The 17,080-nt window shown below is 35.1% G+C and overlaps 1 long non-coding RNA gene across 2 annotated transcripts in view, besides 1 other annotated feature; it reads left to right on the forward strand.

The window, feature by feature from the left end:
* The window catches only part of LOC105375826 (uncharacterized), a 60,415-nt gene that overhangs the window by 36,953 nt on the left and 6,382 nt on the right, over window positions 1–17,080 (forward strand). Inside the window, exon 4 of one of the 2 annotated variants that reach the window (NR_188094.1) lies at window positions 9,264–9,429. The exons of the other annotated variant lie outside the window; for it this stretch is intronic. This is a non-coding gene — a long non-coding RNA (uncharacterized LOC105375826). The remainder of the gene's footprint in view (window positions 1–9,263; window positions 9,430–17,080) is intronic. 2 annotated transcript variants of the gene reach the window in all.
* Window positions 1,674–1,826: a silencer, noted in NCBI's record as "fragment chr8:50119678-50119830 (GRCh37/hg19 assembly coordinates)". NCBI's record gives its function as "represses an EF-1alpha promoter that drives an FKBP-Casp9 reporter gene in an ReSE screen in HepG2 liver carcinoma cells {active_cell/tissue: HepG2}" and the evidence as "EXISTENCE:reporter gene assay evidence [ECO:0000049][PMID:32094911]".

Here is a 17,080-nt window from a genome sequence, read left to right on the forward strand (position 1 = left end):
TGGGTTGAGAAGAATTAGGCTGTTAATGCTGCTACTTCTACTAATGGTGCCTATGATTTATAAAATTACACCACATTCCATGCTGCATATGAATGCTTTAAATATATTATTTCTAATACTTTTATTAGTCTTGCAAGAGGCTCCATTAATCTTTATTTTACAAAAAGGAAAATGGAGGCTTGGAAAGTCTTAATGATTTAATGATTTGCCCAATGTCATTAGTTAAGTGTGGAGTAGGAGCTGGGAGTCGAACCACACCTCTGTATGTCCTCACCTGTGTGTTCCCAAGGGCAAAGTGACACAACATCATGTATCATTTTTGCATGCAGCCCTCCACCCAGTGACCACAGGTAAATGAGTTGGCTGGGCCTACAGCCCACATTAACTTGGGTTCCACCTCCTCTAGCAGAATTGAATTGGACATCAGCTTGCTCAGTTTGACATGCAATGACTACCCACAGGTGCTAGGAAAAGCTAGCATTTTCAAACATGTGTCCCTGCTATGTACAAATCACCTGAATATGATCCTGTCTTCCACCTAGGCAATGACTGCATGGGTTTTTTCTTATTGAGGTTTGAACAGAACTGAGACTGAAACACAGCGTTCCAAATAAACGGCCTGTCACAGTTTAAGAATAACTGAAGTATTTAGCATTCATGCATTTTCAGAATTGTTAGGGATTAATTATAGTGACATAAAATTTCTGGGAGTTTTATGAGTAAGAAGCAAATTGAAACTTCATTGTTTACTTCCCTTTGTATTTTTCACACACTTTGTCCTTTATGAATCATTATCACAAACTGACTGACATATACATTCATCTTACGTTATTGAGAATTTTGCTAATCTTTTACATACTTTTATAATGTCACTGTTGTAAGAGCATTCTATGTGGAGATTTTGTTTTGAAATTTATCTCTTATTTATTCTGCAGGTGTCTGCTGAACATCTAATTTGTGCCAGGACCATAGTTGAGACTGAGGGGAACAGACACTCTCAGAATCCACTTATGACAGCTCCAAATATCTATGCTCACCTTTGTCTCTTTTCCACTGGTCTCTGTGGAAGATATCTCCTTTCACTTTAAGGCTAATCCTTCCATGAGTAGGTCCTATTGATTTTAACAGTCTTTTTCTCCCCAGTTTGTTCTATTCCCTGCAAGTTCTACTCTTTCCTTTCTCCCATCTGTTCAACCCCTTATTACTACTGCAATTCCCAATGTCCAAGCTACAAAATGTCCCCAGTCTTTCTCATTCTCAAGCCCACATACCCACACGCCGGAATTGTTTCTCTGTAGTTCATTGCTATATGCTCATAGCTTCTCAATAAATATTTACTGAGTTTAATGAATGGATAACATAAGGCAATATAAAGGTAGGTAAATATCTGATTCAGAGGAAATTTTTTTAATTTTTAATTCTATTTTTAGGTCTGGGGTAGATGTGTAGGGTGTGCAAGTTTATTACATAGATATCTGTGGGCCGTGGTGGTTTGCTGCACCTATCCACCCATCACCTAGGTATTAAGCCCTGCACGTATTAGTTGTTTTTCCTAATACTCTCCCTCCCCCCATACCAGCCCCCAACCGGCCCCAGTGTATATTGTTCCCCTCCTTGTGTCCATATGATGTCATTGTTAAGCTCCCACTTATAAGTGAGAATATGTGGTGTTTGGCTTTCTCTTCCTGCATTAGTTTGCTGAGGATAATGGCATCCAGCTCCATCTGTGTCCCTGCAAAGGACATGATCTCATTCCTTTTTATGACTGCATAGTATTCCATGGTATATATGTACCACATTTTCTTTATCCAGTCTATCATTGATGGGCCTTTGGGTTGATTCCATGTCCTTGCTATTGTGAATAGTGCTATAATGAACACATGTGGATGTATTGATTGCTGGGTCAAATGGTATTTCTGGCTCTAGATCTTTGAGGAATCACCATACCATCTTCCGTAATGGTTGAACTAACATACATTCCCACCAACAGTGTAAAGGCATTCTTATTGTTCCACAACCTGGCCAGCATCTGCTGTTTCTTGACTTTCAATGTTGGCCATTCTGACTGGCATGAGATGGTATCTCATTGTGGATTTCATTTGCATTTCTTTAGTGATCAGTGATGTTGAGCTTTCTTTCATATGTTTGTTGGCTGCACAAATGTCTTCTTTTGAGTATCATCAGGGTGATAGGCAACCTACAGATAGGGAGAAAATTTTTGCAATCTATTCATCTGACGAAGGTGTAATATCCAGAATCCACCAGGAATGAAAACAAATTTACAAGAAAAAAAACAAACGACCCTATTAAAAAGTAGGCAAAGGACCTGAACAGAGGAAAATATTTTATAAATTTATGGGCAACATTTTGGTCTAGTCTCTAACAAGTAGCCATTTATTCGATAATTTAAAATATTATTACCTAAAAATGCATTTTCATAAATTTTGTTTAAGGTAGAGTGATCACTTGACCTCTTTGAGGGCAGTCTCTTGTCTAATTTGGTTTTATATCCTTATTTTCTAAGTGGTTTCTTACCATGGAGTAGGCATTCAACAAATATTACTCAAGTAAATTGTATTTGGATTATTCACTTTTAAATATTCTCTTTGATATGACATTATAAGCCCAAATGATGAAAAAGCCTTCAAGTTCGCCCAGGTATTCTGTGACTAGAACTTCTATGTAAATCTAGTTGCTACACCTTTCTTCCGATAAATCATAAGCAAATGTCTTTAAGAGTGAGCTGCTATCTGCACCCAAGAGGCTACCACATCACCACGTAGGTGATCATACAGGAAAGTCGTACTGTAGCAGAGTCTTCTACCGTCATTTGCCTTTATGCCCTTGAGTCTGCTTGGAATGTCAGGGTTTCAGACCTGGCTAGAGGATCCATAGCAACTCCATTCTTTCCTTCATGTCATCAGTGCCTGGACTTTGCTGAGTCTTATTTATAGCAGCCCTGTAGGAGATACAGGCAAACATATATAACCAGTTACCTGAAGTCCATGCCTGCAGAGGACCATTTTCAGGAAGTCCTTGTCAGAAGTTGAGATCTTCTTACAAAACATGAGTATACATGTTTTTCCTAGATAGTGTTTATTATCTCTCATTCAGACTGCTGCTCTGGAAGGCTCTGTCCAGGACCATCCTATATTTGCTTTCTCCTACTATAGGCTAGTTTTCTTTCATTTATGCCCTGAAATATGGGCCAGAATCTTCTCTTTTTTTCTACAGTGCAGAACATGGGAGCTCTTTTACAGAGCAGATACTACTCCAGCGGCTTTACACACGTAGTCGTCATATCTACGCTACAAGGTGGGCATTTGTGTCCACATTTATACCGATAAGTAAATAAGATTATGAAAGTTTAAATTACTAAAAAGTGTTAGAACTGAGATTCATATGCTTTAAATTCTATGTATTTCTATAGCAGTTATTTTTAATTAATGGCATATTTATTGTGTCAGAATAATAATAGCAATTTGGATGAAAAATGAATTAACTCTATCAAACATGTCTACTTTAATTATTGGGTTCTATATCCTTGATTCCTAGGAGAACAGCTGTATAAAAACCAGGGATTTATGAGCTGTTTAGAAAAAAGTAGTGAAAACAATTAGGTATAACACTCATATAACATTTCTTTTAATTCCATTACTTTGCTAAAAATTATGTTAATTATAGAAAAAAGAAGTAATTTTTAAAATTGCTAGTGAATAGAATTTCAAACTAAAGGAAGGGTGAGGTTCTATTTTATATCTCTTAATTGTCAAATAAAATCATGCCTAATTATGTGATGTACTGGGAAAGCTGTTGTACGAGTAGAGTGATTGATGTGTGTTACCAGCTGGCAAAATCACATGCTACAGAATGACAACACTGTATTCTTATGAATATATATAACTCACATATAGAATATGGTAGTATAATTTGTATTATATATATATATATATATACACGCACACACAAATTGTGACCTAGTTATTTTACTCTTGGCTATGCACTTTAAGAAAATAATTCAAAGAATATTAAATTAACACCCAACAAAATGGTGTTTCGGTGTTACAGAAGAAAATAATTATACATATATAAAATGAAGATTAGAGATTTATGATGTTTAAATTCTATGGATTATTAAACAACCATTAAAAAAATAAATCCATGAAGATGCAATTGTCTGGGACCTTAGGAAGCTGACTGCAAGGGGGCTGACTTATGGGAGGCTCTCAGGGTGTGCTCTTGAAAAAAGGCCAAGGAAAGGAAAGTGGGAAGGACAGCTGGGCAGAGGAAGAAGGTGTGCTGTGAAGGTAAGCTCAGTGGAGGCCTCAGCCAGTACCCTGGGAGTTCTGAGAGTAGGAAGACTCTCAAGATCATCCCTAGTTGGGGTGAAAGGGTGGGAATTTACATACCCAGGTTGGTTAGTGGTTGGATGTGACCACACCAGAAGGGGCCTGGGCCTGGCCATGGCTGCCACAACTCTCCTTAGCTGGGCCGTCCCTGTGGAGTGAATGACTGAGGGTGTTCTGCTAGAAGAACTCCAGGCACCTGGGGGAGAAAGTCTTCCATTCCCAAAGGGAGGTCATCACAGCACCTGCTGTGGAAGATTATGGGGCAACATGATAAACATAAGAATTGAAATAGAAAACAAAATAGAAGCTTTCATTAAAGCTATATTGAAACTTGTATTCTTATGCATCAACTGCGAGGCAACACAAAGGAATTGGTGAAGCTGAAACATATTTCTTTGTACTATTTTCATAATTATACTTTAGTGTAACATAGGCTAGTCTGAAGGTTTTATCTATAGTCTTTATTGATTTAAGGAGTTTGCTTTCTGTGTTGCCTCACAGTTGATGCATAAGAACACAAGTTTTGATAAAGCTTTAATGAAAGCATCTATTTTGTTTTCTATTTCATTTCTTGTGTTTTTCATGTTGCCCCATAATCTTCCACTGTAGGTGCTGTGATGAACTCCCTTTGGGAATTCTAATAGATTCCAATAGATTTTTCTTATGATTGGGTATTGAATTTCATCGCATGATTCTGAGATTATTACATGATTTCTCCTCTTTCTTTTATCTGTTTATGAGATGAGCTGTTATTGATTTTCTTATTTTAAATCACCCTTGCTTTAGAGGAAAGAACCTGTTTAGTCAATAGATCGTATCATTTAATATATTGTAGAGATTAATTTGCTGATCAGTTGAGGATATTTATATCAATGCTCATGGAAGGGCTTTGATTTGTAAATTTTCCTTTCTTGTCCTTTTCAGGGATATGCTGACCTCGTACAAAGTTTACAAATGTGTTCCTATTTTCATTCTTATCTGTGGAATTTGTGTGTGGTCAATACTATTTCTTCCTTTAATATTTAAAAGAATTCACTGGTCAGGCCATGTAGGGCTAAAGTTCTTTTGAGGAAAGGATTGTAAGAATAGTTGACAATAGGAGCATTCAAATTTTTATTTCTCCTTCTGTTAGTTTTGATCAATTATGTTTTTATCATAGCATAAAATTGCAGTCTATCATAATGTTCTTTTATTATCTTTCCAAATATCTGTAGGTCTGCAGTGATATTTGCTTTTTCAATCCTTGTATTGATAGTTTCCTGTCTCATTTTTAAAAATCAATTTTGCTAGAAATTTACAAATGTTACTAATTATTCCAAATAATCAACATTTGGCTTTTGTGATGCTTGTTTTATATTCTCTAAAATATGCTTGTTTTATATTCTCAAAACTGTGTTTTTATCTTTACTAGTATTCTTTTCTACTTTGTGTTAGGTTTGATGGTTTTTTAGCTTACTTTTTGATATGAGCGTTTATATTATTTATTTTCAGCCTTTCTTTTTTCACAATATATGCATTTAATACCACAAATTTTTCACTAAAGTGTTGCTTTAGTTGTGTGCAACAAATTTTGATGTTTTGCTATAATTATAATTCAGTTGAAAATATTTCTAGCTTCTGTTATCTGTCATAGATTATTGTTGTGATTTATAAATTAATTAGAAATGTGTTGTTTACTATTTAACAAGTTTCCTATTTTTATAGTTTTATTTTTGTTATTAATGCCTGGCTTCTTCCTACTCAGCGAATATACTCTGATGAAGTCTATCGTTTGATAGTTATTGAGGCTTTCTTTATAGTCCAGCATATGGTCATTTCGTTAATATTCAGTATGTAGATCTAAAGACAAATTCTGTAATCGTTAAATTGTTCTATATAGATAAATGAGGTGAAGTCTCTTAATTGTATATTCATAGTTATGTTACATAATTTCTTGATGCATCAGTTTCTTCACTGTGTTACTCAGATTTTCTGTATCAATGAAGATCAGTCTTCCTGTTCACTTATTTTCTCGATTATTTTAAGACATATTAAAATCTCCCAAAATGATCACATACTTGTCCCCGCTCCCTTGAATTCCCTAATTTTTGCTTTATTTATTTTGAAACTATATTATGTAGATTTAGAAGTATTATATCTACTTATCTGAAGCTATGTTATAGAGATTTAGAATAGTATAGCTATTTAGAAAAGTATAGCTTTATTTTCCTTTATAATTTAGAATAGTCTTCATCTCTAGAAAGTCTTTTTACCTTTAAGCACATGTTTTATTAGAATCGTGACATAAGCTTTCGAAAAGTATTTTTATTGTTTTCCATCATTTTAGTTTTAAACTTTATTTTTTATTTAAAACCTGTCTCACACATGTATCATTGAGTTAAATATTTAATATTTTTATGGCATTACATAGTTTGGGCTTCCTGAGAAGACCATGAGATGAGGATTTTGATATACAGAGTTTATTCAGTGATGATCTTATGCTTCACTGACACGCTTCACTACATTTTAGTTGGCAAATTAGATAGGGAAGGAGAGGAAGCCTCTGTTGGTAATTTGAGCTTAATCTGACCAGGGTCAATGACAGACAGCACAGAAGGCACACCTCAGAGATAATTTCCACACTCCAAAAAATGAAGTGTTTAGGCTGTTCATTTTCTAACTCTGAGGAGTCGTTGGTTGAAGGTTATTCCTGGGAGGCACACAGGTGTAGAGTAGGATGCTATAGCCAAAGAAGGCCTCCAGCCAAACGTGCACAGGGGTAGGAGAATAGAGACTGGACCATTATGAAAGAAACAATAAAAGCTGGTTGATATGGGCAGATAATTAACACTAGCAGCTATATCCAGTCCTACAATGTTTGTCTTTAATTAAATTACTTAGAACATTTATATACTTAGTGTAAGTATATATGCATAGGAATTAGTTAAAATTTGCCATATAATGAATTGGTTTTTATTTTACTCATTGTTTATGTTTCTTTTCCACTCTGTTATTGTCTTTTATGGATTAATCAGATTTTTTTTGCATTTTCTCCTTGTATTAACTTGTCGTATTTTCTTTTACTCATCTATTCATAATTACCACAGGGAGTAGGATTATATCATGTAACATAAAATTATGTTATTACTTCTCAAATAATGTCACAACTTTAGAACATGTTAATGGCATTAATTTCCTCCTAACTTTTACTTAATTGATATTATGCATGTAAATGCCACATATTTTTCTTACACTGTATACAAAAATTAACTTAATATAGACTTATGTAAGATCGGACACTCTAAAACTGTTAGGAAGAAGTCTAGTAGAAAAGTTCTACGACACTGGTCTGGGCAATAATTTTTTGTGTTCTAACCTCAAAAGCAAAAATAGACAAATGGGATTACACCAAACTAAAAAGCTTCTTCACAGCAAAGGTAACAGTGAACAGAATGAAGAGACAACCTCCACCACAAGAGAAAATATGTGCAAACCATACATATAATGAGGGGGTCATATTCAAAATCTATAAGGATCTCACAGAACTCAGTAGCAAGAAAACAAATAACACAATTAAAAATTGAGCAAGGAACCTGAAAAGAGAATTCTCAAAAGAAGACATACGAATAGCCAACAGGTATATGAAAAATTGATCAACATTACTAATCATCAGGGAAGTGCAAATTAAAACCACAATGAGGTTTCACCTAGCAGCTTTTAAATGGTTACTATAAAAAAAAGATAAAGGTTGGTGAGGATATGAAGGAAAGTGAACTCTTTCACACTATTGGTAGGCATGTATATTAGTAGGGCTATTATGGAAAACAGTAAAGAAGTTTCTCAGAAAATTAAAAATAGAACTACTATATGACCCAGCAATCGCACTTTTGGGTGTATACCCCCCAAAAAAACAAAAACAGACCATCAGAAAGATATTTGCACTCACATGTTTATTGCAGCATTATTCACAATAGACAAAATATGGAATCAACCTATGGGTCCATCAGCAAATGTATGGATTAAGAAAATGTGCTACATGTACACAATGGAACCCTTACAAAAAAAGGATATCCCATCATTTGCAACAAGATAAATAAACCTGTATGACTTTCTGCTAAGTGAAATGAGCCAGTTACAGAAATACACACACTATAATCTCACTTATGTGTGGAATGTAAGAAGTCAAACTCACAGAGGCAGAGAGTAGAGTGGTGGTTACCAAGAGCTACAAGGTGAGGTGGGGATTGGGAAGATGTTGGTTAAAGATACAAAATTTCAGTTACACAGGAGCAATAAATACAAGAGATCTATTGTACAACAAAGTGGCCATAGTAACAATATATTTTAAACTTGAAAATTGCTAAGAGAATAGATTTTAAGTGTTGTCACCACACACACACACACACACACACACGCACACATTGTTAGGGAGCCAGATGCAGTGGCTTGCACCTGTAATTCAAGCTCCTCAGGAGGTTGAGGTGGGAGGATCTTTTGAGCCCAGGAGGTCAAGGCTGCTGTGAGCTATGATCCAGCCCAGTAAATATTTGAGGTAATGCATATGTTAATTACTTCTATTCAGTCATTCCATAAGGTACATATATGTTGCAAAACATCATGTAGTATAACATAAATACATACAATTATTATTTGTCAACTGAAGAGAAGAAAAAAACACTAATTTGGCATAATTTTAAGTCTCATAAAGATTGCTATTATTGCCTTATAAGTAAATATTTAGTTAATTTTTATTTAAATTTACTCACACATTTACCCATTATATTCCTCATCCTTAACTTCTGAAATTTCTTCTTTTAACCTGGAGTTATATTCCATATGCATAAAATATTCTCCTTGATAGTTCTTTAAGGTCAAATTTAGTTTTCTCAATTTTGTTTGTCTAAAAATACATTTTTTTCACATTCATTGTTGCAGGATATTTTTATAAGACATCTATTTCCCAGATGAGATATTCCCTGACAAGTTTTAGGATATCATTATGTTGTCTGCTGGCTCATCAACTGAGAAATCAGCTGCCAGTCTTATTGTTGTCTCTGTAAAGGAATGTGTTTTTCACATCTGGCTACGGCACTTACCCAAGGTAAGGACCTATGTGAAGAAAGGCATGCACGTATTACATAACATAATACTAACTACTTCTCTCATGCAGATATCTTGTTTGAGCATTCAGAACGAAATTAATAAAGTTGAACATTCAAAACCTAATAGTCATCCTCTCCTTTCCTTCTGGGACTCACAATAAACCTATATTACACTTTTAGCTGTGTCCTATATATCTCTAATATTCTTTTTGCATCATTTATTGTGTTTTTCTCTGTGTCTCAATTCATCATTTCTAATGAACCATCTTCTGATTCTCAAATCCTGTTTTCTGCGTGTCTAATCTGCTGTAAAAACACTTTAGTTATTTCTTATCTTCAAATATTATTATATTTTTTAGATTTTAGAATTTCAACTTAAAAATAAATTCTACTTAACTGATGAAAATGTGCATCTTTTAATTTATTGTTTAAAGATTTTCCTCTATTTGTAAAGTTTGCTTCTGATACTATTTAAAGGCCATTGGTAGTTCACATTGATAGTTGGATCAAACAGAGGCTTATTTTTATTATCTCTTTTTTCTTTTGTTTTCATTCTGTCCTTCTGCCTTTTTGTATAATTAGTGTGCTGTTTTCCCCCTTAGGGGAAAATCCTTGCTTGTAATGGTGCTGTATTTTTTCTTTTTAATTGATATGTAATAATTGTATATATTTATAGGTATGTGTGGTATTTTAATACATGCATACAATGTGTAGTGATCAAACCAGTGTAATTAGGATATACATCACCTTAAACACTTATTTCTTTGTGTTGAAAACATTTCAAATCTTCTCTTTTAGCTATTTTGAATTATACAATAAATTATTATTAATGGTAGTCACCCTATTGAGCTAACACTAAAACTTCTCCCTTCTATCTAACTGAATGTTTTTACATTAACCAGCCTCACTTCATTCCTCATCCTCCATTTCCAGCCTCCAATATCCATCATGAGATCAACTTTTTTAGCCACACATTTCCATGAGATCAACTTTTTTAGCTACACATTTGAATAAGTACATGTGTCTTTCTGTGATGACATGACAAGAACATGTGTCTGTCTGTCGTTCTGTGACTGGATTATTTCACTTAACATAATGATTTCCAGTTCAGTCTATGTTGCTGCAAATGACAGGATTTCATTCTTTTTTAAAAGTGAATAGTATTCTATTGTGTATATCTACCACATTGCCTTTTTTCATTCATTCATTGATGGACACTTAGCTTGATTCCGTATCTTGGCTATTGTGAACAGTGCTGCAATAAACATAGATGTTTAGATACCCATTAGTGGGATTGCTGGATTGTATAGTCGTTCTATTTTTAGGCTTTTTTTCTTTTAGAAATATCCATTAAAAAATGACTGTGATAATTTACATTCTCACCAGCGGTGTGTAAATAGTTCCTTTTTCTCTGTATTCTTTCCAGCATTTTTTTGTCTTTTTGATAAAAACCATGCTAATTGGGTAAGAAGATATCTTCTTGAGGTTTTGATTTCCAGTCCCCTGATAGTTGTTGATGTTGAGTATTTTCTCATATATCTGTTGACCATTTGTATGCCTTCTTTTGAGAAATGTCTAAGCATGTCCTTTGCCCACTTCGTAATGGGATTATTTGTTTTCTTGCAGTTGAGTTGTTTGAGTTCCTTGTATATTTTGTATATTACTTCCTTGTTGGATGAATAGTTTACAAATATTTTCTCCCATTTCATAGATTGTTTCTTCACTCTGTTGATGGTTTCCTTTGCTGTGCAGAAGCTTTTAAAATGTAATATAGTCCCATTTGCCTATTTTTTTAGGTTGCCTATTTGGTTGCCTTTTGAAAAGGCCAGACCAATGTCTAAGCTATTTTCCCATGTTTTCTTCTAGCAGTTGTATAGTTTCAGGCCTTACATGTTAGCTTTTAATCCATTTTGAGTTGGTATGGTGAGAGATAGGGGTCTGTTTTCATTCTTCTGCATAATGAGTAAGTTTTAATTGCATGCTGGGCATTACATACAAAAACGTTCAAATGTTATCTTTCTTTAGAGAGAGTTTGCTTTTCTCTAGGTGAGTCTGATAAAGGAGGATGCGGTCACTTTAGTCCACTCGGGGACTGTGTGCAGTCAAGGCTGGTCTGTATGTTTGATGAGACCAAGTCTGCCTCTTATTTCCATTGTCCCTCTATAGTTTTAACTAGTAGTCTTATATTTCCTCAAGGTCTCCATTCTTTGTTCTTTCTAACTACATAGTTTTTTCTCTCAAGGCTTCTAGAAATTATGTTGCACAAACTCAGGATAAAAGTGGCTGCACAAGTCAGATCTCCTCTTGAAGTTTGTTTCCTCTCTCCAGCTTCCTCTGTCTCAGCAGCTCTCTATTGATTTTGAACAGATGATGTCATACTTTACTGGCTGTCCTGTGTGTGCTTCATAAGAGTGGTGGTTTCCTACTAACTACTCTGTCCTAGCATGGATGTGCAAGCACAGATTTATTTTATGATCATTATGTTTGCACCATGCCCTTATAGGTATTCATTTAATAATGTTCAATCAGGCAAATTCTACTTGAGTTTGGCAGATAGTTGGCCAGAAGCCATTACCAGTTTACTAGCAAGAGAATTTCATTTTACATAATCTACAATTAGGTTACTGTTTAATTAGTTTAATATAATATTATAATTATATGTGGATTAAATTATTGATAATTTATTTCATTATTTTTAAATTTAAAAAATCATCTCAAATTGTCTTATTTAGGTATATGAACTAGGAAAATCCTAAATGACAGTGGTACTCTAGAACTCTTGAACTTAAGACTGTCTATAACCAGGTAAATAACATCAGTAAAGAAATACTGTCTAAATGATGCCTGATAGAAATGTATTGATGCGGAGAAAAGAAGTGGGAAATTGAAGGGGAAGGCTTCTTTTTTTTATAAGAAGTTAAGAAAATTGGAATAAGAAACAACAGAATGGAGAGTACTTTATAACACTGAAGAGAACAGAAATGTATTGCATTGGAGAAGATATTTTAAGATCAGAAGTAAACATATTAAGTGTTTTGTTAGAGGGTTTTAAAGTGTAATTATGGCCGGGCATGGTGGTTCATGCGTGTAATCCCAGCACTTTGGGAGGCCAAGGTGGGCAGATCACCTGAGGTCAGGAGTTCGAGACCAGCCTGGCCAACATAGTGAAACCTCGTCTCCACTAAAAGTACAAAAATTAGCCGGGCCTGGTGTCACATGCCTGTAATCCCAGATACTTGGGAGGCTGAGGCAGGAGAATCGCTTGAACCAGGAGGCAGAGGTTGCAGTAAGCCAAGACCACACTACTACACTGCACCCTGGGCAACAGAGCAAGACTCCGTCTCAAAAAAAAGAAAGTGTAATTATATAAATTTTGCAAGGTTAGAAATATCCCATATGATTAAGGTATAGTCTACTAAGTCAGTAAATTTAAGAGAGCCCCAACTTGCCACAATATGGGGCTTCTACCTCATTATGCGGTGTTAGAATGAGGAAATGCACATAGCAATGCAGTAGGCTATAATTAGGGAAAAAGTGACCTGAGGAGAAGTTGGAGAAAGGTTTACCTGTGGTAAATGATGATACTGAAAGAGAACAGACATATGTATATTAATTAAACAGTTTAGTTTTGAAGCCTTGAGTGCTGGAACTTTCTGAATAATGGAGATACGTTGTCTTCCTCACTCTTGTATTTATAGTTTATGCAAATAAACTATGTGTTCGTAAATCAACATTTCTTACCAGTTCAACATGGTGTCCTTATCTCTTGGAGGGAAACTTGAACTGGAAGAGAAAAGTCATAATTATAATTGCTAGAGACAGCAGTAGTTAATTTTAATGCTCCCTTTCTGTGATAGATGCTACTCTATTATATACATTAAATAATTGTCTCCTCATAACAACACTAGGCATCTGTGTTACAGATGAGGAGATGGAATCATAGAAAGGTTAAAACTAGCCCAGGGACACCAAGTTAATGCAAGCACTAGATGTCCAGAGGAAGCACTAGATGTCTTCTCTGTTGGGCAATATCTTTCCCAAGATGTATGTTCTGGTCTCAGCTTAAACCTTAATGCTCAGGAGGTCTTCTGTGAACCCTGTCTGAAATAGCTGCCTCATCTGCCACTATCCATCATTGTATTTCCAATCTCTACACATTTCCAGTAACAAAAATTTGTTTTTATTTGTTTATGTAATTATTTTCTTTGTTAATATTATATACCTGCTTTATTTATTGCCATAAAATGTGAGACATTTCATTTCTTGTTTCCTTCTGTATCCACAATAGGTACTTAATAGGCACTCAACAAATATTTGTTGAATGAAAGAATTAATGTCAAATTGGTCAGTTGGCTTGGGTACAGCAATTGTAGTGTCTTGCTGCTATGATAATCTTTCCTAGTAGCCACAATTGGCAAGAAAGGCAAAGGACACCAAATGGAACTCAGAATAGGTAGACAGGGGGATCAAGAAGGATTATTCCTCTCTGGATTGTGTGCCAAAATATGAATACTTCATTGTCTAATCAGCACAGTAGGTGCAATGGTCAATATGGTTACACTAGAATTATCTTTTCACTGGAATCAAGAGAAGGCAAGACACACTTCCATATTGAGATTAGTAAGTGGGAAGTTGGAACAAGATATATTTTTGAATGAGCAATATTTTTCCAGCATATTTGAAATACAGAAATGGATCACTAGAGACACTGCCTAGAGTCTCACAACCAGGAACATAAATGCCGGTGTCAGACAGCCCTGCCAGCACTGTGCTTTACCGAGTGTGTGAGCTTGGGCAGGTTACCTAATCTTCCTAATTACATCCTTGTAAATTGGCAGCAGACAGCATGTTTGCTAAGTCTTCATGGTTGTTTTCATAGGCCTCTCTTATGTGATAAACTGTGAGGGTTTTTACAATATACAACAGACATTTCAGGAAAGGTTGATGTTCAGATATAATTCATTAAAAGACACTGTCAAAGGGGGTAAAAAAGAGTTAGATACAAACCACAGAAATTTGAACTTGCAGTATCACTCAAAGAGCATTTCAAATGGGAAAAAAGTGAAAAAACAATGCTTTCATGTCTTCCCATTTCCCATCACTTTACCAGAGGAATATGAAGTCTCATAAAACTGCAAATGGAAAATAATGTATCCTGTCAAGCTTGGTTAGGTATTGGGCAGTTAAATGTCAGCTCAAAATATTTATCTTAGAGCATTTCCTAGTGATTTATTCCTTGCAAAAATGCTATGTGTAAGTATAGTAAAAAAAAAAAAAAGCCCTTTGGTATGTTGTCTGTTGTCATAAATACATCTTCTCTCTCATTTAGCACCATTATACCTTCCCTTTCATTCCTGTTTCTCACTTTCTTTTATGTCTGAGTCTTCTAGGTTTTATCTCTAACATCCCTACACTTGGTAATTGGATGTATATGTCTGAGTATTAATATATATTGAAGATTGTGCTATATTTTGAAATAGCATGAAAAAAATATGGCTCATGATTGCCACTTAAGACACCCAAAATGCAGGTCAAGCTTCATGAAGCACATGCAAAACTGAAGAACAAGGAGGGGAGTGACCGTCAAGTGGAGATTGATAATCCCCTTTTGCTGAGGAGCAGCATAGCATTTCGGATTGTAGGCACTGGCTTCAGCAGGCCCAGAGCTTATCACCTAAGCCTGTTGCTTATGCATGAGCTCTGGAGAGTCTGTTAACTTTCTGACTCTTAGTGTCCTTACGTGTAATAGAGTAGATGTTAATACAGTTACATTAGTGAATGACATAAATGAAGCACTTAGTTTGGTATCTCATTCTTGTAGCTGCTCAATAACTAATATCAATTGTTAGTAGTTTGAATCCCTGTTACTTCAAAACTACTGGAATCAGTAATAATTTGTGTGTGTGTGTGTGTGTGTGTGTGGTTTAAATTCTGCTTGTGTGTTCATGCCACCTATGTGTACAGGAGAAATAATTGCCTGTGCTGACTACTGAGTCTAGAGTCCCATTCAGGCCCCCATACCCATTTTGGCCTTTGTCTCGATTCTACCACGGATGGTTTTTGCTGCTGTGGAAAAGAGGGCTGCTATTTACTTGTGTGGCACTCCCTGGATTTGCATAGTCTACCACACTCATTTACGTGCATGGAAGCCCCCTTAAGAGTGCACTTTCCGGATGGCAGTTGGGCTTCTCTCAGGGAGCAAAGACACATTATGTTTCTTCAACTACACAAGAAAGTAGCCGGAAATGTCCATGCTCAGTGGGCTGTACCTGAAGTTTATGCCATGTGTCATAGATATTCCTTAGGCAGAAAATAATTTATAGAGCTCAGATTTTTCATGTTGGCATATGAAACCATGACATGTTAATATGTCATATATAAATTATATGTTATCCCATATATTATATGATATATGATATAATACCTTTTTTTATATTGGCAGAAAAAATAGTCATATAGAATAAAGAAATATATTAGTAGGTGACAGCAGATGAAGTACTGAGATGTATTATGAAAAGCACATTTCTATTTAAATGAAAATATGTGATCTTGTAATGAAATTCAAAAGGACATAAATTCTTTCACTTCTTTGATTGAAGGATCACTGTAAAATGATCTTTACAAATTGGCATGAGTAGATCAGTTACATACAATTTTGCACTTCTAAATTTGAAGTTCTCATAGAGGTTCCTTCAACTTTTGTCTGTAAATCTCTCAAGGGTAGAATCTGTGTCTCCTTTTAAGGGGTGATAATAAATATGTTTATGATTAATATAATTAATTGCTGACATGATTAATGATATTCAATAAATAGTTGAGTTAATGAATTGTTCAAAAGTGGTTATTTAATAGTTGTGTCTGGTATATTTTTAAAATAATATTTGTTCAAAAACTATCTGTATGTCCTTCACTGATTTTACTGAACAATCAATTATATATCACTTATGATATGTCGGGTAATATTCTAAGTCTCTCACATGTATTAACTGGTTTAATTCTTATGATAACCAGAAAGTAAAAAGTTGGTGCTTTTATTAACTTATTTAACAGAAGAAGAAACTGAGAGACAGAGGCTGTAAATTCTTTGTCTAAATTCTCATGACTGTAAGCAGCAAGCTGGAACTCATACCCAGGCAGCCCCACTCCAGACTCAGTGCCCTTCTAACAACTCAGCTGCCTCTTGTGGATGCCAGCTAAGAAAGACCACCCTGAAGACACTGGATTTTGATATTTCAAAATCCTTAAAAAGTACTCCTTAAAAAGTACAGTCTAATTTAAGGAAATTTCTTATGCATTGGTTCTTGTAAGCCAGTCACATAATTCCTTCTTGGGAGGTATTTGAGGATGAGAGAGATTTAACATTTTTTTCTGCCTCTATTTGGGTCATGCCAAATATGTCTATGTACAGTACAGTTTCAGAGGACAAGTCATCACATTTCATTTCATTTTTGGTGCATAAATGAGTCCTGTCTCTCCTACAGAGTTTTGGGTGGTGGAGGGAGTGGAAACTGCTAGAAAACATTTGTATAGAAGCTTCAAGGGGATGGATAAGGTAGGAGAGAAAAAAATAATGCTCATTTTTATGGACACTAAGGTGCCCGAAATGATTTTCTGATTAAACTAACAGTGCATGCTGTCAACTCATGTGTT

Source organism: Homo sapiens, chromosome 8 (genome assembly GCF_000001405.40).
Source record: "Homo sapiens chromosome 8, GRCh38.p14 Primary Assembly".
Classification (NCBI taxonomy): Eukaryota; Metazoa; Chordata; class Mammalia; order Primates; family Hominidae; genus Homo; species Homo sapiens.